This window comes from Homo sapiens, chromosome 16 (genome assembly GCF_000001405.40).
Source record: "Homo sapiens chromosome 16, GRCh38.p14 Primary Assembly".
In the NCBI taxonomy this organism is placed as follows: Eukaryota; Metazoa; Chordata; class Mammalia; order Primates; family Hominidae; genus Homo; species Homo sapiens.
In genome coordinates this window covers 69,755,356-69,781,061 of record NC_000016.10, presented here as the reverse complement: position 1 = coordinate 69,781,061, position 25,706 = coordinate 69,755,356, and the positions used below count along the sequence as shown (strand labels likewise).

The 25,706-nt window shown below is 45.1% G+C and overlaps 1 protein-coding gene and 1 pseudogene across 12 annotated transcripts in view, besides 6 other annotated features; one reads left to right on the top strand and one right to left on the bottom strand.

The window, feature by feature from the left end:
• WWP2 (WW domain containing E3 ubiquitin protein ligase 2) overlaps positions 1–18,730 on the bottom strand; it is a 179,408-nt gene extending 160,678 nt beyond the window's left edge. For 4 of the 12 annotated variants that reach the window (XM_017022879.2, XM_017022881.2, XM_011522823.3 and 1 more), the window contains exons 1-2: positions 18,671–18,730; positions 4,821–4,873 (exon numbers count right to left, since the gene is read on the bottom strand). The gene's annotated coding sequence lies outside the window, so the exon portion shown is untranslated. Of the gene's footprint in view, positions 1–4,820; positions 4,874–5,921; positions 8,038–18,670 lie in introns of those variants that run through there. The other 8 variants (XM_047433523.1, XM_017022880.2, XM_047433520.1 and 5 more) reach the window with 5 other exon arrangements.
• Positions 7,579–7,778: an enhancer, noted in NCBI's record as "active region_11045". NCBI's record gives its function as "activates an Ori minimal core promoter by ATAC-STARR-seq in GM12878 lymphoblastoid cells {active_cell/tissue: GM12878}" and the evidence as "EXISTENCE:reporter gene assay evidence [ECO:0000049][PMID:35858748]".
• Positions 18,254–18,303: a silencer, noted in NCBI's record as "silent region_7667". NCBI's record gives its function as "represses an Ori minimal core promoter by ATAC-STARR-seq in GM12878 lymphoblastoid cells {active_cell/tissue: GM12878}" and the evidence as "EXISTENCE:reporter gene assay evidence [ECO:0000049][PMID:35858748]".
• Positions 18,324–18,483: a silencer, noted in NCBI's record as "silent region_7666". NCBI's record gives its function as "represses an Ori minimal core promoter by ATAC-STARR-seq in GM12878 lymphoblastoid cells {active_cell/tissue: GM12878}" and the evidence as "EXISTENCE:reporter gene assay evidence [ECO:0000049][PMID:35858748]".
• Positions 18,324–18,925: a biological region, named in NCBI's record as "H3K27ac hESC enhancer GRCh37_chr16:69796040-69796618".
• Positions 18,347–18,925: an enhancer, noted in NCBI's record as "H3K27ac hESC enhancer chr16:69796040-69796618 (GRCh37/hg19 assembly coordinates)". NCBI's record gives its function as "activates a minimal SCP1, AML or CMV promoter by ChIP-STARR-seq in naive H9 embryonic stem cells {active_cell/tissue: H9 hESC(naive)}" and the evidence as "EXISTENCE:reporter gene assay evidence [ECO:0000049][PMID:30033119]".
• Positions 18,504–18,643: a silencer, noted in NCBI's record as "silent region_7665". NCBI's record gives its function as "represses an Ori minimal core promoter by ATAC-STARR-seq in GM12878 lymphoblastoid cells {active_cell/tissue: GM12878}" and the evidence as "EXISTENCE:reporter gene assay evidence [ECO:0000049][PMID:35858748]".
• NONOP1 (non-POU domain containing, octamer-binding pseudogene 1) lies at positions 22,992–25,646 on the top strand (annotated as a pseudogene).

Here is a 25,706-nt window from a genome sequence, read left to right as displayed (position 1 = left end):
ATAACCCACTACCACAGGACCAACCTGTTTTTTTGAGACAGGGTCTAGCCCTGTCACCCAGGATGGAGTGCAGTGACATGATCATAGCTCACTACAACCTTGACCTCCTGGGTTCCAGTGATCCTTCCGCCTCAGATTCCTGAGTAGCTGGGACTACAGGCATTTGCCACCACATCCAGCTGATTTTTTTCCTTTTTTATTAATTTATGTATTTATTTTTTGTAGAGATAGGATCTCACCATCTTGCCCAGGCCAGTCTTGAACTCCTGGCCTCAGGCAATCCTCCCAGCCCCACCTTCCAAAGTGCTGGGATTACAGGCATGAGCCATTTCACCAGGCCAAAAAGATGATGTTTTGACTCACTTAGACTAAATTTGTCTTGGCAAAGCAGTAAAAAGATCAACTCTCTTTGCTACTCATCAGATTAGAAAGAGATGAGAAGCCTGACAATTAGTGTTGGAGAGAAGTCTCACATGCCTGTGGAGGCAGCGCACATTAGATGGCAGCTGACAACCTCCGGCAGAGTTAAAGACGCGTAATTTTGGACCCACCAGGATTCTACTCCCAGGCATTTGCAGAGGGAGAAATTCTCCAACACACACAGAAGAGGCCATGTTCAAGGATGTTCATCATAGCAGTATTTGTAATAGTAAAAAATTATAAACAACTTAAATACCCATCAATGGGGGAATGGATAAATTGATATATTTCTAAAATGGAATGCTATATAGTACCTGAAATATATGAATTTAATCCACATGTACAAATCCCAAATGATAATGCCAAGAGGGGAAAAAAAAAAAAAAGGCAAGTGGCAGCCTTAGTACGATGTCTTTGGTGTACACTTGAACTTACACAAAACAACTGTATACGTTGTTGTTGTGGACACACAAACGTTTAAAAGTATAAAAGTACGACGGGAAGGAACCACACCAAGTTCAGAACAGAAGTTCCCTCTAGGGTAGGGGAGGAGGGAGCAGGGGAATTGGAGTGGGGAAGAGACCAAAGGAACCTCAACTGTATCTACAACATTTTATCTTTCAAAGAAAAAAGTTCTGGGGCAAATATGGCAAAATGTTCATATTCATTAAATCCAGATGGTGGTTTTTATGACTGTTTGTTATCTTCATCTCTAACCATTTTATATGTTTGATCTCTTTCATAATTGAACAATAATTTTAAGGGGAAGCAAAAGATCGTATCTTGAATAATGCAGGAAAGATTATAAATAATTATAAATTGAGCCTTGGGGCTTTTAGTTAACAGGGGTTAAAGCACTAAACGCTGGAAATCCATTATTTACAGACTTTAAAAATGAAAGAATATTTTAGAAATCTTTACTTCTATTGGGACTCTTTCTTTCCTAAGGCAACTCAACTAATGGTAGTTTTTAAACTATCTTGTTCTCCTGAACTGTAGCAGTTTTGAGCCTTTGGTCCTGACTCTTAGAGAATGGAACTTGAAGCCCATACATGGCCTGTTCAACAGAAGAAAGACCAAACTTTTTGATCTACACTTCAGGGCCGCAAAACTAAAACAATCAGATAAATTCTAAAGAAGGCTCAGAAGGAACAAAGGCAACTGGGAAGGCAGGAGAAACAGGGTAGATAAAACATCACCATGTTTTCTTTCTCCAGTGTCTTTTAAAATTGCAGTCCACTGCTTATATAACAGTAATCCATGTTATTCTATAGAGCTTTGTCTGGAGTTCCAGATCTAATGAGCAAGATACCACCCTGACATTATATAATGTAGGCATTTGGAATTGTAAAACCTTTCCAATTGATGCATAAAGAAAAATAACCGGCCGGGGCCACGCACAGTGGCTCACGCCTGTAATCCCAGCACTTCGGGAGGCCGAGGCAGGTGGATCACCTGAGGTCAGAAGTTTGAGACCAGCCTGGCCAACATGGTGAAACCCCATCTCTACTAAAAATATAACAAATTAGCCGGGTGTGGTGGCGGGCACCTGTAATCCCAGCTGCTTGGGAGGCTGAGGCAGGAGAATTTCTTGAACCTAGGAGGTGGAGGTTGCAGTGAGCCAAGATTGCACCATTGCACTCCAGCCTGGGCAACAGAGCGAGACTCCATCTCAAAAAATAAATAAATAAATAAATAACCGGCCAGGTGTGACAGCTCACACCTGTAATCCCAGCACTTTGGGAGGCTCAGGCATGCGGATCACTTGAGGGCAGGAGTTCAAGACCAGCCTGGCCAACATGGTGAGACCCCCGTCTCTATGAAAAATACAAAAATTAGCGAGGAGTGGTGGCGCAACTATAATCCCAGCTACTCGGGAGGCTGAGGCAGGAGAATTGCTTGAACCCGGGAGGTGGACGTTGCAGTGAGCCGAGATCGCACCACTGCACTCCAGCCTGGGCAACAGAGCGAGACTCTGTCTCAAGAGAAATAACCGTAACTATAGAAAGGAACAGATCCCATCCCCATCAAAGTACTTTCGACCTCTCAGCTTTTGCCTCCCATCTTAGACAAGGTTCCTAATGCGTATTAGGTCCAAATCCCCACTATCCACTACAAGAAGCTTAGGAAACCTGAGGCCCAGACTTCACACTCTGTCTCAGCAACACGAACAGATGACTCCGTACACGTACTCAAGTAATTTCTCCCCTGCTAATAGCCATGGAAAGTAATTGCATCCTAATCACTCCAAAACTCTGAGTGAGCATAAGCTTTGCTGGAAGAGGGAGAAGGGGGTCAATGTTTAAAATATAACTAAAGGTTACCAGATGAACAAAGTATTTCATTATTGAAGAAACTAATGGACTTATTGGGAGGGGGATGGGAAAGTCAAAATGTCCCCCTTTACTAAGTCTGGTAGATCTATTGAAATTTCTCAAAAAAAAAAAAATATATATATATATATATATTTATTTATAGTATGAGTGTGTATGTATATATGTGTGTGTGTGTGTATCTATGTGTATGTATATACATGTGTGTGTGTGTGTGTATATATATATATATATATTTGAGACAGGGTTTCACTCTGTCACCCCAAGCTGGAGTGCAGTGGCACAATCATGGCTCACTGCAGCCTCAACCTCCTGGGCTCAAGCAATCCTCTCACCTCAGCCTTCTAAAAGGCTGGGACTACAGGCACCAGCCACCAGACTCACCTAATTTTTTAAATTTTTTGTACAGATGAAGGGGGTCCCTATGTTGTTCAGGCTGATCTGGAACTCTTGAGCTCAGGCAATCCTCCCACCTCAGCCTCCCAAAGTGATGGGATTACAAGCATGAGCCACCACACTTGGTCTCAAAAATATAAATAACATATTTATATATAATATAAATACAAACAACATATTTCCTCTGAACTTATCCTCTACATAAATCTTGACAAGCATTTTAAAAATAAAATACAAACTAATAGGGTAGAAACTATAAAAGTTGTATACCAAACTATAATAAATAAAAAGATTTTTTTAAAAGAAAATATAGGCCGAGCACGGTGGCTCATGCCTGTAATCCCAACACTTTGGGAGGCTGAGGTGGGTGAATTGCTTGAGGTCAGGAGTTCGAGACCAGCCTCGCCAACAGGGTGAAACCCCATCTCTACTAAAAACACAAAAATTATCTGGTCGTGGTGGCAGGTGCCTGTAATCCCAGTTAATAAGGAGGCTGAGGCAGGAGAATTGCTTGAACCCAGGAGGCAGAGGTTGCAATAAGCCAAGACCGCACCACTGCACTCCAGCCTGGGTGACAGAATGAGACTCCGTTTCAAAAAAAAAGAAAATATAAAAGTATATCACACACAAAGGAAAGTATTATTTCACAAAAAGTTTTACCAAATAAATATACATGTATATATATTAATAGGTGCATATATGATATCTCCATATGTATATTGTATATACACATATGTGTATATCCATATGTGTATTGTATATACACATATGTGTATATATATCCATATGTGTATTGTATATACACATATGTGTATATATATATCCATATACTGTTTTAAAATAAATATACATACATATATATACACACACACACATATACTGTTTTAAGATATAAAATGTATGTCTTACTAAAGGTTGCAGTCAAAAAAGCTTGAGACTACTGGTCTACAACAATCCCATCTAAGGTAGGGTTTTAGATTAAACAAACACTACAGAACCTAATAAGCAAATACTACACTAGGGACTAATTTCATTCAGAGAAATGTCATCAGTTTATTATAATTTTTTTTATTTTTTTTTTTTCGAGATGGAATTTCGCTCTTGTTGCCCAGGCTGGAGTGCAATGGCACAATCTCGGCTCACCACAACCTCCGCCTCCCAGGTTCAAGCAATTCTCCTGCCTCAGCCTCCAGAGTAGCTGGGATTACAGGCATGCACCACCACGCCCAGCTAATGTTTTGTATTTTTAGTAGAGACGGGGTTTCTCCATGTTAAGGCTGGTCTCGAACACCTGACCTCAGGTGATCCGCCCACCTTGGCCTCCCAAAGTGCTGGGATTACAGGCGTAAGCCACTGCGCCCGGCCTATTATCATTATAAGTTAAGAAACTTCCCACATCTAGGTAACAATCTCTAGAGCTTAGATAAGAGGCATTCATTCATTTGACAAATATTTATTGAGCATCTATTATGTACTCTGCACTGGTTTTGGTGCTAGTGGTATACTGCTGAATAAAACAGAAGAAAAAATCCTTCTTTACAAGATTATCCTGGTAAAGAGTCAAGAAAGATTCCCTCCTAGCTCTAGTTGTGGGAAGTAACCATAGTGAAATAGGCCCAGAGCAATGGCCTACTCTCCAGGGAAGAAGACTTTACCAGAGCCTTATCCTACCTGGTGGAAGAGAAGTCCCCTGACTCCAGCCCTCTTTAGCCTTTCTGTTTCATCTAAGGGGAGAAAAACAGTTAAATATGAGTGACAGTCATAGCCTGGGACACAGGCCCACTAAAAGACTAGGATTTGACCATGAGGCTATAGAATGCTTCCCCTCCCCCATACTTTGCTGTCACACCAACAGGGCTCCAGTACAACAACAGGGAATTAGGGCTGAAAGGCATACACTCTATTTAAGAAGGAGTTTTTAGGGAAAACCAAAGATAACAGGGGAGACAGAAACAAGGACACTAGAGGAATTTGAAGCCTCAGATACCAACAGTTACAGCAATCATTAAACACAGACCAACTCTTAGCCAGATTAACATGAAACACCATACTAACAATACTAATGGACTATTTATCTCATTTCCTATTACCTAATACATCATGTCCAGCTTTCTTTTTTAAACAAGAACTAGGGAGGGGTAAGGAAGAGGAACTGATCAGCAGGAAGAAGGTCAATGTCTAGCTCTCAATGAAAAATTACAAAACACACTAAAAGGCAAGAAGAAACAGTGTGAAAAAGAAATAAAGCAAGCATCAGAACCTGACTCAGATAGGACAGATTTTAGAATAATCAAACAGGTAATGCAAAATAACTATGATTACTAGGTTCAGGGCTCTAATGGAAACAGCAGACAACACATGAGAATAGATGGGCAATGTAAGGAGAGATATAGCAACTATAAGAGTCAACAGAAAATGCTAGAAATCATAAACACTGTAATAGAAGTGAAGAATGCCTTGATGGGCTCATCAGTAGACAGGACATGGCTGATGGGGTTTAAGATACCTTACCCCAAAACATGACACCTTGGCATTTAAGAAAACAGGAAAAGCAGGAAGTCACTCTCAGCTTCCTCTCACCCTTCTCCCATAAAGCAGGTCATAAAGCCTATGAAAGATTTTCTGACCTTCCCCTGAAACGGGTCATATGACCCTCCTTTGAGAGATGCCCTCCTTATACCCCAAGGAAAGAAATATCCTTCTCTGAAAACAAAAGGACACAGAGAAGAATCTGAACAAATAGGACTTGTTAAATTTCCCCCAGTGTATTACCAGTCAATCATACCCCTTTTGTCCAATCGTATTTCTCCACGATTGTCCACTCTTCATCAAACCTAAACATAAATACACATTATCTGTTTCTCCAGGTCTTAGTCACGTAAATTTATATGATATAAATTTGCATGCTTTTCACTTTTTCTTTTCTTTTCTTTTTTTTTTTTTTTTGAGACAGTCTTGCTCTGTCACCCAGGCTGGAGTGCTGTGGCGTGATCTCAGCTCACTGCACCTCCACCTCCCAGATTCAAGTGATTCTCATGCCTCAGCCTCCTGAGTAGCTAGGGTTACAGGTACATGCCACCATGCCTGGCTAATTTTGGTATTTTTAGTAGAGATAGGATTTTACCAAGTTGTCCAGACTGGTCTTGAACTCCTAGGCTCAAGCCATCCTCCTGCCTTGGCCTCCCAAAGTGATGGGATTATAAACGTAAGCCACAGCACCTGGCCAAAATAGAAATTAAAAAGGCATGAACAGGAAGGTCTCACTGAGAAGGTGACATTTGAGCAAAGATCTGAAGAAGCTGAAGGAAGAAACTGAGAGTATCTGCAAAACATTCAGATAGATAAAAGGGTATGATGGCCAGCAGTGGTGGCTCATGCATGTAATCCCAGCACCTTAGGAGGCCAAGTCAGGTGGATCACTTGAATCCAGGAGTTCGAGACCAGCCTGAACAATAGGGCAAAACCTCGTCTCAACAAAAACCACAAAAATTAGCCATGGTGGCACATGCCTGTAGTCACAGTTACTCGGGAGGCTGAGGTGAGGTGGGAGGATCGCTTGAGCCTGGGAGGTCTAGGCTGCAGTGAGCTATGATCACGCCACTGCACTCCAGCTAGGTGACAGAGCAAGACCCTGTCTCAAAAAAAAAATGCTGTTGAGGTGACAGCATGTCTGGGGAATACAAGGAAGGAAAGAGGCCAATGTTGGGTGGAAATGTAAGATGGAAAGAATAACAATAAGATAACAGATGTAATTGAATGTGTAGAGTTAGGTTAAATTATCCTTAATGAAGGATCAAATGCCTTGGAGCAGTGGTTCTCCATCCTTTCTAGACATCTGAATTATCTGGGGAGCATTAAAAAAAAACAACACTGACCACCAAACCCTACCCTCAGAGATTCCCATTTAATTGGTCTGGGGTGGGCCAGGGACAGCTGTGTTATTTAAAAATTCCCCAAGTGATCCTAATATGAAGCTGGGTTGAGGACCACTGGTTTACTGTTAATGAATTTGTTGAAACCTCAACTAATGTGACTGCACTAAAAGGAGTGCTTTAGACCTCAGCTAATTTGGCTGAACTAAAAAAATGCAAAAAATTTGCATAGAAAATTATGCAAATGAAAAACTGGGGCAGCTGGGTGTAGTGGCTCATGCCTGTAATCCAAGCACTTTGGGAGGCTGATGTGGGCAGACTGCTTGAGCCCAGGAATTCGAGACCAGTCTAGGCAACATAGAGAAACCCCATTTCTACAAAAAATACAAAAAATTAGTCAGACATGGTGGTGCATGCCTGTAGTCCCAGCTACTCAGGAGGCTGAGGTGGGAAATCACCAGAACCCAGGAGGTCAAGGCTGCAGTGAGCTGTAATCACTCCACTGCACTCCAGCCTGAGCAACAGAGGAAGACCCTGTTTCAAAAGAAAAAAAAGAAAAGGTGGCTGGGCGTGGTGGCTCATGCCTGTAATTCTAGCACTTTGGGAGGCCGAGGTGGGTGGACCACATGAGGTCAAGAGTTCGAGATCAGCCCGGCCAACATAGTGAAACCCAATCTCTACTAAAAATAAAAAAATTATCTGGGTGTGGTAGTGAGTGCCTGTAATCTCAGCTACTTGGGAGGCTGAGGCAGGAGAATCACTTGAACCTGGGAGGCGAAGGTTGCAGTGAGCCAAGATTGTGCCATTGCACTCCAGCCTGAGCGACAGCATGAGAGTCATCTCAAAAAAAAAAAAGGAGCAACGTGTATCGGTAGGAACAGAATACAATGAAGGAGCTCCCCGTCAGGACTGTTGCTAAGGAAACAAAGTAGTAGCGACACTAGCGTCTTCCCAGAGGCCAGTTCTTCCCTTAGCCTTCCAGGAGCTCTCAATACACAGAGCAGACTACACATACATTTATCTCTGTTCCCTTCTCAAACTCCATCAAAATGACAGGAAGCAATACAAAAAGGTGAAAACCCACAGAAAGGGAAAAAAACACAACGGAAACAGCAGCAAAATTTTGGAAAATGGTTCCAGTGTGTCGAAACTGAAACTTAGCTGCCCACAAGAGAGGTCAACAGAAGGCAAGCAGACTGGCAATGAAGAATTCCAGAAAGGGTCAATCACTGGTGGTGAGGCAGGAGGGAGGACTCGACTCAGGACCAGACTGAAGACTGGCTGAAACAGGGAAGAGGCACCAAAAGCACCTCCCCACAAGACACACCCACCAGTGCCATGACAGTGTGCCAATGCCATGGTAATGCCCCAGAAGTTACCACTTTTCTAGAAATGTCTAATAGCCCACTCCTTAACTTGCATATAATTAAAACTGGGTATAAATATGACAGCAAAACTGCCCCTGAGCTGCTACTAGGGACACACTGCCTATAGCGTAGCCCTGCTCTGCAGGAGCAGTCACGGAGCTGTAACTCTGCTGCCTCAATAAAGCTGTTTTCTTCTACTACCAGCTTGCCCTTGAATTCTTTCCAGGGCAAAGCCAAGAACCTACCCAGACTAACCCCCAGTTTTGGGGCTCACGTGCCCTGCATCAGTAGTACAGGTACCTCCGAAAGTAAGGGCAGAAGTGGGGCTAAAAACAGGAGGACTGGCAAAAGCCTATCTTGGGAATGATTAGAGTCCCAGAGTCCCCTCCCCACCCAGTTCAACCAAGCAGTTGCCCCTTCCTAATCCCAAGCAGACTTTTAGTCCAGCACTTTGGGAGGCCGAGGCAGGCGGATCACCCAAGTTCGGGAGTTCGAGACCAGCCTGACCAACATGATGAAACCCTGTCTTTACTAAAAATACAAAATTAGCCAGGTGTAGTGGTGCGTGCCTGTAATCCCAGCTACTTGGGATAGGCCGAGGCAGGAGAATAGCTTGAACCTGGGAGACAGGTCATGGTGAGCTAAGATCACACCATTACACTCCAGCCTGGGCAACAAGAGCAAGACTCTGTCTCAAAAAAAAAAAAAAAAAAAAAAAAAAGACTAAAAAGACTTTTAGTTTCTCAACAGGTGAAACCAAACTCAAGACTTCAGGCATAGTTGACAATAGGGATAAGGCACCATATTGACCCAGCGAGACAGTGAAAGTCTACATTATAAACTGAAAAGGTCAATTTCCCCCACCCAACTCACCTTCCCGCACTTGGGTCCTAGCATACATGTGTACTTCACACCTAAATGTCAACAAACATTGCAGAAGTCCTTGGCCAAAAAGCCAGATATAAAAACAAACAGAGAGAAAAAGAGAATTGTTTTTCAGCAATTGACAAGCTGATCCTAAAGTAAGGAAATGCAAGGAACCCAGAATCGCCAAAACAATCTTGAAAAAGAACAAAGTTGGATGACTAACACTTTCCAATTTTAAAACTTACTACAAAGCTACAGTCCTTCAGGCTCTGTGCCTCATGCCTATAATCCCAGCACTTTAGGAGGCCCAGGCGGGTGGATCACTTGAGGTCAGGATTTCGAGACCAGCCTGGCCAACATGGGGAAACCCCGTCTCTACTAAAAATACAAAAATTAGCCGGGCATGGTGGCAGGCACCTGTAATCCCAGCTACTCAGGAGCTGAGGCAAGAGAATAGCTTGAACCCGGGAGGCGGAGGTTGCAGTGAGCCAAGATAGCACACTGCACTCCAGCCTGGGAGACACAGCAAGATTTCATCTCAAAAAGAAAAATAATAATTATTACAGAACTTTTGACAGGAGAAAACAACTACACATCAGATTAAGCTAGTGGCAGCTCCTGCAATACCTGAAGCACCTGATCACTTTTATCACCCTACCTCAGCAACAACCTTTCAGACCTGTCAATCTTCTGGAGGCTAATAAGCTGAACCACTCATTTGCCTTTGAGTGATCCAGAGCAAGTTACTTACTGAGAGGATGGAGAGGAAAAAGCAAACTCAGTTTCTTCCTGCTATACTCTCACAACACAGAATACTACCTTTTTTTTTTTTTTTTAATAGAGACAGGATTTCACTATGCTGCCCGGGTTGATCTCAAACTCCTGGGCTCAAGCGATCCTCCTACCTCTGCCTCCCAAAGTGCTGGGATTACAGGTGTGAGCCACCACGCCCAGCCCCACAGAATACTTCTGACACCAGATGTGTGGGAGCCCCACATACCAAGTAAGCAATCAATTCTGCAGCTGGCAGACACCAGCTGGGTGTCCTCTAATTCAGTTCCTACACTATCCACCTGGAAATAGCATCAGATCCCACAGGTTTAGTTCCCCAAGACTGCCCCTGACTTGCGACATCAATTGCAAGCTCCAGGTTGTTTTACCCGTGCTTCTGACCAACCGGCTATAAATCGAGGTTCTTAGGATTGATAAATTTGCTAGAGCAACTCACAGGACTCAAGGAAACACTTTATTTGCATTTACTGATTTATTATAAAGGATATTATGAAGGATACAAATGAAGAGACGTAGGGCGAGGCATGTGAGAAGGGGCACAGAGCCTCCAAGCCCTCTCTGAGGGTGCCATCCTCCAAGAACCTCCACGTGTGCAGCCATCCAGAAGCTCCCCAAACCCAGTCCTTCAGGGTTTTTATGGAAGCTTCATTACGCAGGCATGATCAATTAAGTCACTGCCACTGCAGATCAAGTCAACTTTCAGTCCCTCTCCCTGTCCCAGAGGCTGGGTGTGGGACTAAAAGTGCCAACCCTCTAACTACAAGGCTGGTTTCCCTGGCCACTGGCCCCCAAATCCTGAGACTATCCAGGAGTCCCCAACCAAAGGTCAATTATTAGCACACAAAAAGACACTGACCAGGTGTGGTGGCTCACACCTGTAATCTCAGCACTTTGGGAGGCCAAGGCAGACAGATCACCTGAGCTCAGGAGTTCGAGACCAGCCTGGCCAACACGGCGAAATCCCATCTCTACTAAAAATACAAAAATTAGCTGGGTATGACGGCATGTGCCTGTAGCCCCAGCTACTTGGGAGGCTGAGGCACGGGAATCGCTTAGAGGCTGCAGCGAGCCGAGATTATGCCATTGCACTCTAGCCTGGGCGACACAGCGAGATTCTATCTCAAAAAAAAAAAAAAAAAAGACACTGATCACTTGGGAGATTTCAATGATTTTAGGAGTTATAGGCCAGGAAATGGGAGGAAGACTAAATATATATTTCACAAAATCATACCTACCCTCTCTAAATCTCAGTTTTCTCATCTGTGAAATGAACCCAATAATAGTACTTACTTTATAAGATTACTGTACTGACTACATGAATTCAGGTAAAGCAGAGGACACACAGTAAGAGCTCTTCAAATATCAACTACAAACAAAACCACTTCTCGATACTGAAATTCTTGGCTCTGGCATTACAAGCACCTCAATTCCTAAAATTCTTGACCCAGCTCTGAGTCAAGAAACCAGTGAACACCGATCTTGAGATGAAAAGACCTGTGTAGAAGGAGCCAGGGAAAAGCAGAAATTACACACCAGTATCAATATTTTATTTCTTGTTTTAAAAAATTTTTTTCAATATAATCCATGGGTTCACAAAGATTTTATTTCTAATTAACCAGCTGTAGAAACAGGCAGAGCTTATTTCTAACTAGAGATAAACCTTGCACCCACTTCTATTTTTTTTTTTTTTTTTTTTTTGAGATGGAGTCTTGCTCTGTCACCCAGGCTGGAGTGAGTGGTGCAATCTCGGCTCACTGCAAACCTCCACCTCCCGGGTTCAAGCAATTCTCTTGCCTCAGCCTTCCGAGTAGCGGGGATTACAGGTGCCTGTCACCACGCCTGACTAGTTTTTTGTATTTTTAGTAGAGATGGGTTTCATCACGTTAGCCAGGATGGTCTCGATCTCCTGACCTCATGATCCACCCGCCTTGGCCTCCCAAAGTGCTGGGATTACAGGCGTGAGCCACTGCGCCCAGCCTGCACTCATTTCTTGAAAGATATGCAAGGAAAAGCTCTGTCCAAAAGATTCTCCTGTTCTTCACAGGCTCATGCTACTCCAACACTAATGCTTCTTTCTTGGCCTCCTTCCTCTGTCCAGCATTGAGTTACTACCTTCCATTCTCCAAAGGCCCATATTGAAAAACAATCAAACAGAATCAACTTTGCCAAATGACATCCTTACAAAGACTAAGCACGGAAAAAGAGAAAACGGGAGGGAGCAGGGAGGTACACTATTGGAAGCCCCGTGGAATTACAGGCTAAGAATAAAAGAGGCTGACTGGAAAGCAGATCTGAAGACAAAACAAGAAGCAAAAGGCATGGGTGACTTGAGGAAGAGGACGGGCCCTAGGTCAGGACTGCCATGTCTTGGTACTTGTTATTTTTTATTTATTTAATTATTTTTGAGAAGGAGTTTCGCTCTTGTTGCCCAGGCTAGAGGGCAGTGATGCAATCTCGGCTCACTGCAACCTCCGCCTCCTGGGTTCAAGCGATTCTCCTGCCTCAGGCTCCCAAGTAGCTGGGATTACAGGTGTCTGCCACCACGCCTAGCTAATTTTTTGTATTTTTAGTAGAGACGGGGTTTCTCCATGTTGGCCAGGCTGGTCTTAAACTCCTGACTTCAGGTGATCTACCCACCTCGGCCTCCTAAAGTGCTGGGATTATAGGTGTGAGCCACCATGCCTGGCTGGTATTTTCCTAATAGTTATTATTAGTAGTAATGATTTAAATCACTGAATATTTGCTATAAACTGCGGTGGGGTGAAAAACAGGGAACTGCAACCTTCTAAAAAGATTTTGGTTAGAATCTAACCTGTCCCATCATCCAGGGGAAACATCTTCCCTTTTGTTCCCATCTTTCAGAAATTCCAGAGCCCTAGCCAGTTGTGGTGGCTCACACCTGTAACCCCAAACACTTTGGGAGGCTGAGGCAGGAGGATCACTTGAGCCCGGAGTTCAAGACCAGTCTGAGTAACATAGTGGGACCCCATCTCTACAAAAAAGTTAAAAATTAGCTAGGCATGGTGGCACATGCCTATAGTCTCAGCTACTTGGAAGGCTAAGATGGGAGGATCACTTGAGCTCAAAAGGTTGAGGCTGCAGTGAGCCATGATCATGCCACTGTACTTCAGCCTGGGTGACAGAATGAGACCTTGTCTCAAAAGCAAAACAAATAAAGAAGAAAGAAAAGAAATTTCAGAGTCCATAATGTGGAGTCCTAATAAGATAAGTAAGCAACAACGAGGAAGGGGCCTCAGGTAGGGGAAAGCCATGGACAGTCGTTCTGAGAAATGATTAATCACAAACAGCCCTCAGATGCATCAATCCCCACATAGCCCCCTCCAGCACAACCCTGTAAAACTTCCCTCCATCTCCTGCCTCTTTGCAGACAGCCCCTTCTCTGCTGTGCTGCCCATTGCTTTCTTGCAACGTGTTTTCACTTTAATAAATCTGCCTTTCTTTACCTGGTAAATTCCCTTTCTGCCTGTGACACATAATAGTCCTAAGGGACTCAAAGTCGCTCAAAAGCAACTCACTGATTTGATTCCAAAGGGAGTTTATGTTTATATAGCCACTCCACCCATCTCACTAATGATAAGTGGTAGAAGGACCAGATGTGGACTCTGAAGACCAAGATTCAAATGGCCATCTCTTTCATTTCTTAGCTATCTGACCTCGTGAGGGTCACTTCACCTCAACAAGGTTAAATGTATAAAATGGTGGGATGCCTGACAAACAACATGCATTCAATACATGTTTGAAAAAACCAATACATATTTCAAACATAAAAAGCCCATTATCCATCCATCCTGGAGGCCTAAACTGGATGCCAACCCAGGAAGCCAGACTAATTCCAGAAATTGGCACTCAAATTGATTTCAGGGGTGCTATAAAGATGCACAGTTGGAAGAGTAGCCTCATTAAGAAAAAAGAAACCCATTAGCTTGTGGTTTTCAAAAAGATTAAAAAAAAAAAAAACAAAACCCCTATTCCAGTACTTTGGGAGGCCGAGGCAGGCAGATCACTTGAGGTCAGGATTTTGAGGCTAGCCTGACCAACCTGGTGAAACCCCATCTCTACTAAAAATACAAAAATTAGTTGGACATAGTGGCAGATGCCTGTAATCCCAGCTACTCAGGAGGCTGAGGCAGGAGAGTCACTTGAACCTGGGAGGTGAAGGTTGCAGTGAGCCAAGATCGTACCATTGCACTCCAGCCTGGGCAACAGAACAACACTCCAAAAATAATAAAGTAAAATATAGGATCCCTAGAAAAGCCTCTCTCTGAAGGTGATGGTTGAGTAAAGATCTGAGGAAGTGAGGGAAGGAAGGGGCCATGTGGCTGAATAGGGGCTTAAGGGTCCAGGCAGAGTTCAAAAGCCCCAAATAAGGAGTACCACTGGCAGGTTTTGGGACCAGTCAGGAGGCCAGTGTGGCTGGAGGGGATTGAGTAAGCAGGAGTGGAGAGAGGAGGTCAGGGTGGTGGTGGGTGTGGGAGGAGAGATCAGGTCATGGAAGGCTTGCAGGCCATTGTAGGGTATTGGTTTTCACTCCAGTTAAGCTGGGACAATTGGAGGGTTTGAGTTGGGCAGTGGAGTGGACAGGATCCACCCTGCCTTTTAACAGACTTGCCCTGGGTCCTGTGTGGAGAAAGTGAAGGCCAGCCAGGGTGGAAGAGGGAGACAAGTTAGGAGGCTGTTGCCATCATCCAGGGGAAAGATGCATCCAGGGTGTACTCTGAAGTACAGCCAGTAGGCTTTGTGGACGAGCTGAGTTGGATGTGGGGTGTGAGAGGAAGAGACGAGTCAAGGGTGACTCCAAGGTCTTTGGCTTGAACAACTGGAGGAATGGAGTTGTCATTAACTGAGATGGGGAAGGCTGTCTGAGGGGCAGGTGTAGGGCTCAATTTTGTTGATGTTGATTATAAAATGCCTGATAGGAATCCACGTGAAGATATTGTGGGCAATTAGATCTAGAAGTCTCGAGACAGGCCTAGGCTAGACACACATATGGAAGCTGTTAGCATGTGGATAGTATTTAGAGTTAAGAGACTGAGCCAGGTGCAATGGTTCATGCCTGTAATCTCAGCACTTTCGGAGGCTGAGGCAGGAGGATGTCTTGAGGCCAAGTGTTCAAGACCAGCCTGGGCAAAAGTGAGAACCCCCGCCCCCAACTCCCCATCTCTCCAAAAGCAAGACGGAGTCTCACTTCATCACCTAGGCTGGAGTGCAGTGGCGCGATCTTGGTTCACTGCAACCTCCATCTCCCGAGCTCAAGCAATTCTCGTGCCTCAGCCTCCCGAGTAGCTGGAATTAGACACATGTGCCAACAAGCCCAGCTAATTTTTGTATTTTGGGTAGAGATGGGGTTTCACCATGTTGGTCAGGCTGGTCTTGAAATCCTGACCTCAAGTGATCCGCCCGTCTCAGCCTCCAAAAGTTCTGGAATTACAGGCGTGAGCCACCGCACCTGGCCAGGATCCTATTTAAACTGCAACCTACATCCCTCTTCCCTGCTTTATTACAACATAATACATATTATACTTAGTTATCAATGTGCCCTTCTCTAATAAAATTGAAGATCCACAAGGGTGGGGATCCTTACCTTTCTTGTACTGCTATATTCCTGGCATTCAGAACAGGTTTGTCCAATAGAAATAAGATGGGAGCCACAAGTGCAAGCCACATTTATAATTTTTTATTTTTCTAGGAAATACATTTTAAAAAGAAAAAAGTGCTGGGTTTCAAGTCAAGGTTAAGTGGGAAAAAAAAAGACAAAAAGGTGAAACTTTTTTTCTTTTTCTTTTTCTTTTTTTTGAGACAGGGTCTCACTCTGTCACCTAGGCTAGAGTGCAATGAGTGGCACGATCACAACTCACTGCAGCCTCCACCTCCCCAGGCTTGGGTGATCCTCCCACCTCAGCCTCCTGAGTAGCCAGGCGGGCGCCACTGCACCTGGCTAATTTTTGTATTTTTTGTAGAGACAGGGTTTCACCATGTTGCCCAGGCTGGTCCCAAATTCCTGGGCTCAAGCAATCTATCCACCTTGACCTCCCAAAGTGCTGGAATTATAGGCATGAGCCACCATGTCTGACCAACTATTTATAATTACGTTGTATTTAACCCAATAAATCCAAAATGTTATCATACATGTTTATACATTATATGATCGTTTACTATAACATAAAAAGTATCAATGAGACATTTTACTTTTCTTCATGCTAAGTCTTCAAAATCCAGAATGTATTTTATGCTCACAGCATAGCTCCAGTGCTCAGCAGCCCCATGTGGCTAGTGTACACCATACTGGACTCTACAACAATGCCTGGCAAAGACAGAGTGGGTACTTATAAATATTCACTGAATGAAAGAATGTTTTCCCAGGAAGAGGAAGCTATGGTAGAGTACAGCGTTTTCTAAACTTCATTTACTCACATTCTACATTCACAACTTTTTCTGTGTGATCTTTTTCCTTAAAATGTTACACTTTTTATTCCTGAAAAATTATGTAAAAATAAAACTTTCAGTTGGGCATGGTGACTTACACCTGTAATTGCAACACTTTGAGAGGCCGAGGTGGGAGGATCGCTTGAGCCCCGGAGTTTGAAAACAGCCCGGGCAACATAGCAAAACCCCTGTCTCTACAAAAATTAGCCAGGCGAGGTGGCACCCACCTGTAGTCCCAGCTGTTTGGGAGGCAGACATGGGAGGATCACCCGAGCCCAGGCAGGTCAAGGTTACAGTGAGCCGTGATTGTGCCACTGCACTCCAGCCTGGGCAACAGAGTAAGATCCTGTCTCAAAATAAAATAAAAATAAAATTTTCTATTGTGTCAATAAATGAAAAAGAATGGATCTAAGGATTAAGGGTCTGGGCTTGAGTCCCTACTCATTTACTAGCTCTGAAATCTAAAGTAAGGACTTCATTAAGCCTCAGTCTCTTCATGTGATATAGGGACAATACTGACCATCCCAATTTCAAAGGGAAGGTTAAGTGAGATGTTGGTATACGCTCTTTGTAAATGGGAAAGTAATCATGAAGTGAAAGAGACTGAGAAGCCAATCCAAGCCTTTCTCTCGAGCCTGTTTTCATATGGACCAATGACACAGATAATCACAAGCTTCTCTGACAAGAAAAAGAGTAGAAGACTTGGGTTCAAATCCTTTGTCACCACTTACGCCGGTGTGACTTTTAGAAATGCATTTATTCACCAAATATTTATCAAGTGCTCACAACATGCCAGGCACTAGGCTAGCAGCCAAATAAAATATGAAACCTGCCCTTGAAGGATTTGCAATCTAGCAGGAAGAGGCCAGCAAACAAGAAAGAGCAATAAATTGTTTTAAAAAATCAAGTCGTCTCTCGTAAGTCTGTTTGTTCCCTGTGAAATGAGAATACATCTTCCCAACCTCACTCATAGGCGCTGCTGCAAAAACTAATTTTTAAATGTTTGTCAAATAACTCCAAAAACTTGAACTCATAATACATTAGGAAAGTACTTTTTCCTACTTGTAACCCAAAACGATGCTGGCTGCTGTGAATGTCCAGTTTGAACATTCGTTCCAGTTACACTGCACTCATGAAACTCCTTTTGCTTCTGCAAATTTTAGTAAACATGAGAAACAGGAAGATGAACAGGCTTTAACACAAGTATTCAATCTCAAAATCATGATCCAGGTCACAGTTCTAAGGAACATAACACAGACCTCTCAGGCACCCTACCTAGTTACAGTTCGTCAAGATAAGCAGTCACAAGATAAGCTAAGGGAAACTGAATAATTTAAACGGAAGAAAGAGAAAAGTCATAAAGCAGTCTAGGTAGACACTTCTCTGTCCAAGATTTCAGCAGTCACTATGTTGCTGAGGTAACGCTGGGCTAGGTCAACAGTGTAAGCTAAAAGCCATTTTACAGGCAAAGTGCCCACACTTATTTTTTTAATTTATTTTCTTTTTTTGTTTTTTAAAGCCTCGATGATGGCCCGTTCAGGGAAAATCTCAAAGAAAAATGAGCTGAAGGGCTAGGCTCCCAAGAAGTGGAAACCCTACCCACGCAGGACTAAGTGGGCGCGAGGGAAGCAAGACGATCAAGATTCTGTGATCCCTCCTGAAGTTTAAAAACTGAATGGGACCGTCATCAAAGTCTCGGGTAACAATCATTTCCAAACAGGAAGGAAGGGAGAGACTCTCAGAGGGGGTCCAGGCAGCATCTTTTTCCCTCTGGCTCCACGCCATAAACCCATTTTCAGGCACCCCCTTCCAGCTCAGTTCCAAGTCGCCCCTTCCCCTGGTCCCGATCCCTCCACAAAGATCGCTCCTCTCCATGCCTGGGAACCTAAGCTCCTCTCCCCTTCCGGGAGGACTCGCTCCAGCTGCACCCTTGGCGGCCGGGGCACCCATTTCGGAGCAACCCCCGCGCGGGCCGCGGCGCGCCCACCCCACTCGGGCGGGAGCCGGGACACCCCTCCTCGGAGGCCGGAACCGCCGCGCCAGGCCCCTCCCACAGGAAGCCGCCGCCCCCCGACGCCCGGGCCGCGCCGCCCCCGGCCCACCCCGCGCCGCCCGCCGCCCCCGGCCCGCCCCGTGCAGGCAGCCAGCCCACCGCGCCCCCCGCGCCAGCGCTCGCTACCTGCCGTGGCCACAGAAGCGGCGCCGAACTCCTCTCCTACTTCCGCCTTCCACCGCCCGCACTCGGGCCGGGTCACGTGACCGCGCGCGGTCACCTGACCCGGAAGAGGCTGGCCAGGCTCGCAGGTGCGGGCCACCTAGGCCTGGCCTGGGCACCTCTGGCCTCGAGGAGGCCTTTTTATCGTCTCTGTAGTTGAAAGTGGAAGGGTTTCTGCTCACCGGATGGTCCCAGGCAATCAAATAAATTGAGGGCTCACTGAATGCCACCTACTCTGCCCATCAACCTTATAGAGGCAGGGACAGGTACTAGCCCCATTTTACAGGTGAAACGAGACCTTCAGACTGTTAAGTCAGCAAATACTTAATTGAGCTCCTTTAGTAGGGTTGCCAGATAAAGTACAGGACACCCACTTAAATTTGAATTTCAGATAAACAACAGTGTAATATGTATGTCCCAAATACAGAATGGGACATATTTATACTAAAAAAAGTATTTTTTGATTATCTGAAGATCAAATTGAATTGAGTATCTGTATTTCTATTTCCTGGCAACCTTATGCCTATTATGTGCCAGGCACTGTTCTAAGATCCAGGACCACAAACATCTCAGCCTTTGTGGGGCATCTGTCCTTGTGACATGAAGCAAAAGTACAAAAGCTTAAAAACTCCTGCTTGGCTCCATAAAAAGCCCCTCCACACTAATCCAATCGCATTCCCTTAATCTACAACTACAGGGCACAGAGAACTTAATGAATTATAATCCAGGTAGGTAGGTAGGTAGGTAGGTGGATAGATAGATGATATTTTTTTTTTTTTTTTTGAGATGGAGCCTCGCTCTGTCGCCCAGGCTGGAGTGCAGTGGTGCAGTCTCAGCTGACTGCAACCTCCGTCTCGCCGGTTCATGCAATTCTCCTGCCTCAGCCTCCCGAGTAGCTGGGATTACAGGCGTGCACCACCACGCCTGGCTAATTTTTGCATTTTTAGTAGAGACAGGGTTCCTCCATGTTGACCAGTCTGGTCTCGAACACCTGACTTCAAATGATCCGCCCACCTTGGCCTCCCAAAGTGCTGGGATTACAGGCATGAACCACCGCACCTGGCAGAGAAATATTTTTTTTAAGAGATGGGTCTGGATAGGTTGCTTTGGCTGGGCTCGAACTCCCAGCTTCAAGCAGTCCTCTTGCTTCAGCCTCCCAAGTAGCTGAGACTACAGGCGAATGCCACTGTGCCTGCCCAATAACTTTATTTATTTATTTATTTATTTATTTATTTGCTTGCTTGAGACAGAGTTTCACTCTTGTAGCCCAGGCAGGAGTGCAGTGGCTCAATCTTGGCTCACTGCAACCTCTGCCTCCCAGGTTCAAGCAATTCTCCTTCCTCAGCCTCCTGAGTAGCTGGGACTACAGGCACCCACCACCATGCCTGGCTAATTTTTGTATTTTTAATAGAGATGGGGTTTCACCATGTTGGCCAGGCTGGTCTCAAACTCCTAACCTCAGATGATCCACCTGCCTTGGCCTCCCAAAGTGCTCAGATTATAGGCGTGAGCCAATGCGCCCGGCCTCCAAGAACATTTTAAATAGACATTCTTGACTGATGTTCTGGACAAGTTGAATGAAGGCTCAGTTTAATCACCATTGATTAAAATTAATACTAATGACGTAATTAGCCTCAAAGACTTGTACTAATCTGTTATTTTTGGGTCTTCGAATTGGGATGGATTCTATCATGCATACAAATTAAATTGGCTGGTGGGGCGTGGAGGCTCACGCCTGTAATCCCAGCACTTTGGGAGGCAGAGGCAGGTGGATTACCTGAGGTCGGGAGTTCGAAACCCACTTGGCCAACCTGGTGAAACCCCATCTCTACTAAAACTACAAAAAAAAAAAAAAAAAAGATTCGCCGGGCATGGTCCGGGTGCGGGTAATCCCAGGTACTCCAGAACCTGAGGCAGGAGAATTGCTTGAACCCGGGAGGCGGAGGTGGCAGTGAGCCATGATAACGCCTCTGCACTCCAGCCTGGGCGACAGAGTGAGACTCTGTATCTAAATAAATAAATAGGTTGAACACTTAGTCTCTACTTTTTGTAGTACCACTCCAAATCCAAGAGATTAACTTTCAAGGAGATACAGTCCTGTCTTTGTACATTAAACCCTATATTAGTCTCATTTATAAAACTACTATAACTAAAACTTCTCCAGTTCCATTGATGGCAGTTTTACTAATTCTGTTCTAGATAAATTAGAGACTATTTCCTTGACTTACTAGCATTTGTTGGTTTCGGTTTGTTTTCTTCTTTCATATTTCATTTTTTATCTTTTGTTGCTTTTTTTTAACAACCCTGCAGAAAAGATTTAGTGGCATCTGAGTAAGTGTTCACCAAAGGGGAGAAGGGACAAGCAAAGAGCACACACTGCACATTAAAAGAATAAAATCTGACAGGGTGCGGTGGCTGGCACCTGTAATCCCAGTACTTTGGGAGGCCAAGGCGGGCAGATCAGACTGTCAGGGGCTCGAGATCAGACTGGGCAACATGGTGAAAACCCATCTCTACAAAAAATACAAATATTAGCTGGGCATGGTGGCACACACCCGTAGTCCCAGCTAATCAGGAGCCTGAGGCTTGAGAATCGCTTGAACCTGGGAGGCGGAGGTTGCAGTGAGCCAAGATTGCACACTGGACTCCAGCCTGGATGACAGGGTGAGACTCTGTCTCAAAAAAAAAAAATTGATATGATAAACTAGAAAATGAGAAATAGCCTCCAGCCATACTCTGTTACGGCAGGTAGCACAGGCACGTTCTAGATAATGAAGAGACTGAGTGGTGAGAAAGGTTGAGCCAGGTGCAATGGCTCACGCCTGTAATTCTAGCACTTTGGGAGGCCAAGGCAGGTGGATCACCGTACATCAGGAGTTCGAGACCATCTGGCCAATATGGTGAAACCCCATCTGTACTAAAAATACAAAAATTAGCCAGGCGTGGTGGCGGGCACCCATAATCTCAGCTACACAGGAGGCTGAGGCAGGAGAATTGTTGAACCTGGGAGGCAGAGGTGGCAGTGAGCTGAGATCGCACCACTGTGCTCCAGCCTGGGCGACGAGAGCAAAACTCAGTCCCCTTCCCGCCACCCCAAAAAAAGAGAAAGACTGAATTTGGGTAATTGCTGAAAGGCAATATTCAGTAGCACTGAAGGATTTTTGGGGTAGGACAGATAAATGACAATTGAGGAATCCAGCTGGCGTGAAGACTTCATGAAGAAAGTTTGCATGAAGACCCAAGTCGACATTCAGCAAAATTCACCGGATCTTATAATCATAAAATTTCAGATTTGCAAGGAAACGTAGAAGTCACTAAATACACCTTCTGTTCAATTCAGCAAGGAATTATTTGCTACCAAATTATGTGTGTTGCTTAGGGAGGTGGGGTGAGACTATTAAGACAAATTAGACAGACTCTGGCCCCACGTTGCTCAAAATGAAGTGAAGGCACATAAGCAGCAGTCAGTATAACAGAATGGATAATTAGGTGGCTCAGGGACAGCACCGTGTCTCACACCTGTAATCCCAGCACTTTGGGAGGCCAAGGCTAAAGGACTGCTTGAACCTGGGAGTTTCAGACCAGCCTGGGCAACATGATGAGACTCTCATCTCTACAAAAGTAAAAATGAAAAAACTAGCTGGGCATGGTGGTGTGGGCCTGTGGTGCCAGCTACTCGAGAGGCTGAGGTAGGAGGCTCACTTGAGCCTGGGAGTTCAAGGTTGCAGTGAACTATGATCATGCCACTGCACACCAGCCTGGGCAACAGAGAGAGACCGTGTCTCAAAAAAAAAAAAAAGAAAGAAAGAAAGAAAGAGAGAGAGAGAAAAGGAAAGGAAAGAAAAAAGAAGAGAAGAGAGAAAAAAGTGGCTCTGAATCAGTTTGTCTGGGTGTTACGTTATTTTCACCACTTACTGACCATGTCAGCTACACCTAGTGGCTTTAGTTAGCTATCCCTTGTCTGTAAAACAGTACCTATCTTGGCCGGGCGCGGTGGCTCACGCCTGTAATCCCAGCACTTTGGGAGGCCGAGGCGGGTGGACCACGAGGTCAGGAGATCGAGACCATCCTGGCTAATACGGTGAAATCCTGTCTCTACTAAAAATACAAAAAAAGTCGGGCATGGTGGCGGGCGCCTGTAGTCCCAGCTACTTGGGTGGCCGAGGCAGGGGAATGGCGTGAACCCGGGAGGGGGAGCTTGCAGTGAGTTGAGATCGCGCCACTGCACTCCAGACTGGGCGACAGAGCAAGACTCCGTCTCAAAACAAAACAAAACAAAAAAAAGCTTTTCTCGGGACGGGAGAGGCCGTGTAGCGTCGCCGTTACTCCGAGGAGAGACCAGTCGGTAGAGGAGAAGTCCAGGTTAGAGGGAAGTGGGAGGCACTTTGCTGTCTTCAATCGAAGTTGAGGGTGCAAAAATGCAGAGTAATAAAACTTTTAACTTGGAGAAGCAAAACCATACTCCAAGAAAGCATCATCAACATCACCACCAGCAGCAACAGCTGCAGCCGCCACCACCGCCAATACCTGCAAATGGGCAACAGGCCAGCAGCCAAAATGAAGGCTTTGACTATTTGGCCTGAAGAATTTTAGAAAACCAGGAGAGAAGACCTTCACCCAACGAAGCCGTCTTTTTGTGGGAAATCTTCCTCCCGACATCACTGAGGAAGAAATGAGGAAACTATTTGAGAAATATGGAAAGGCAGGCGAAGTCTTCATTCATAAGGATTAAGGATTTGGCTTTATCCGCTTGGAAACACGAACCCTAGCGGAGATTGCGAAAGTGGAGCTGGACAATATGCCACTCTGTGGAAAGCAGCTGCGTGTGCGCTTTTCCTGCCATAGTGCATCCCTTACAGTTCGAAACCTTCCTCAGTATGTGTCCAACGAAGTGCTGGAAGAAGCCTTTTCTGTGTTTGGCCAGGTAGAGAGGGCTGTAGTCATTGTGGATGATCGAGGAAGGCCCTCAGGAAAAGGCATTGTTGAGTTCTCAGGGAAGCCAGCTGCTGGGAAAGCTCTGGACAGACGCAGTGAAGGCTCCTTCCTGCTAACCACATTTCCTCGTCCTGTGACTATGGAGCCCATGGACCAGTTAGATGATGAAGGGGGACTTCCAGAGAAGCTGGTTATAAAAAACCAGCAATTTCACAAGGAACGAGAGCAACCACCCAGATTTGCACAGCCTGGCTCCTTTGAGTATGAATATGCCATGCGCTGGAAGGCACTCATTGAGATGGAGAAGCAGCAGCAGGACCAAGTGGACCGCAACATCAAAGAGGCTCGTGAGAAGCCAGAGATGGAGATGGAGGCTGCACGCCATAAGCACCAGGTCATGCTAATGAGACAGAATTTGATGAGGCGCCAAGAAGAACTTCGGAGGATGGAAGAGCTGCACAACCAAGAGGTGCAAAAACGAAAGCAACTGGAGCTCAGGCAGGAGGAAGAGCGCAGGCGCCCTGAAGAAGAGATGCGGCGGCAGCAAGAAGAAATGATGCAGCCACAGCAGGAAGGATTCAAGGGAACCTTCCCTGATGTGAGAGAGCAGGAGATTTGGATGGGTCAGATGGCTATGGGAGGTGCTATGGGCATAAACAGCAGAGGTGCCTTGACCCCTGCTCCTGTGCCAGCTGGTACCCCAGCTCCTCCAGGACCTGCCACTATGATGCCGGATGGAACTTTGGGATTGACCCCACCAACAACTGAACGCTTTGGTCAGGCTGCTACAATGGAAGGAATTGGGGCAATTGGTGAAACTCCTCCTGCATTCAACCATGCAGCTCCTGGAGCTGAATTTGCTCCAAACAAACGTCGCCGATACTAATAAGTTGCAGTGTCTAGTTTCTCAAAACCCTTAAAAGAAGGACCCTTTTTGGACCAGCCAGAATTCTACCCTGGAAAAGTGTTAGGGATTCCTTCCAATAGTTAGATCTACCCTGCCTGTACTACTCTAGGGAGTATGCTGGAGGCAGAGGACAAGGGAGGGGTGGTATTAAACAAGTCAATTCTATGTAGTATATTATTTAATCAGTTCTGTGTGGTGCATTCCTGAAGTCTCAAATGTGATTGTTGAGGGCCTGGGGAAACCATGGCAAAGTAGATCCAGTTAGAGCCCATTAATCTTGATCATTCTGTTTTTTTGGTTTGTTTGTTGTTTTTTTTTTTTTTTTTTTTTGTCCATCTTGTTTCATTTGCTTGCCCTGCCCCCGAGATGGAGTCTTACTCTGTCGCCCAGGCTGGAGTGTAGTGGCACGATCTCGGCTCACTGCAATCTCTGCCTCTCGGGTTCAAGCTTGTCCAGGCTGATCTTGAACTCCTGACCTCGTGATCCCCTGCCTCAGCCTCCCAAAATGCTGGGATTACAGGGGTGAGCCACCGTGCCCAACCTCACTTGCTTTCTTATCCTTACACTCCCCCAGTCCCAGAGAAACTGCCACATACACCACAAAAACCAAACATCCCCCAATGACCTTAGCCGCATTGCTCCATTCACTCCCAGGTGAGAATTCAGGTAAACGTCCACAAAGGTCACAGGCAACGTACATACGGTTCTATTATATCCCATATATTACCCCTTCATGTCCTAAAGAAGACATTTTCTCTTAGAGATTTTCATTTTAGTATATCTTTAAAAAAAAATCTTGTGTTAACTTGCCTCCATCTTTTTCTTGGGTGAGGACACCCAGGAATGACCCTTTTGTGTCTATGATACTGCTGTTCACAGCTTTTCTTGATAGGCCTAGTACAATCTTGGGAACAGGGTTACTGTATACTGAAGGTCTGACAGTAGCTCTTAGACTCGCCTATCTTAGGTAGTCATGCTGTGCCTTTTTTTTCCATTGGTGTATTGTATTTGATTTGTCTCTGATATATTTGGAGTTTTTCTGAGAACTGGAGCAGTAATGCAGCATCGACCTATTAAAATACATTTTAAGCCTTTAAAAAAAAACAGTACCTATCTCATAGGGGTGCTGTGATAACGAAATTAGGTAATCTGTATTGA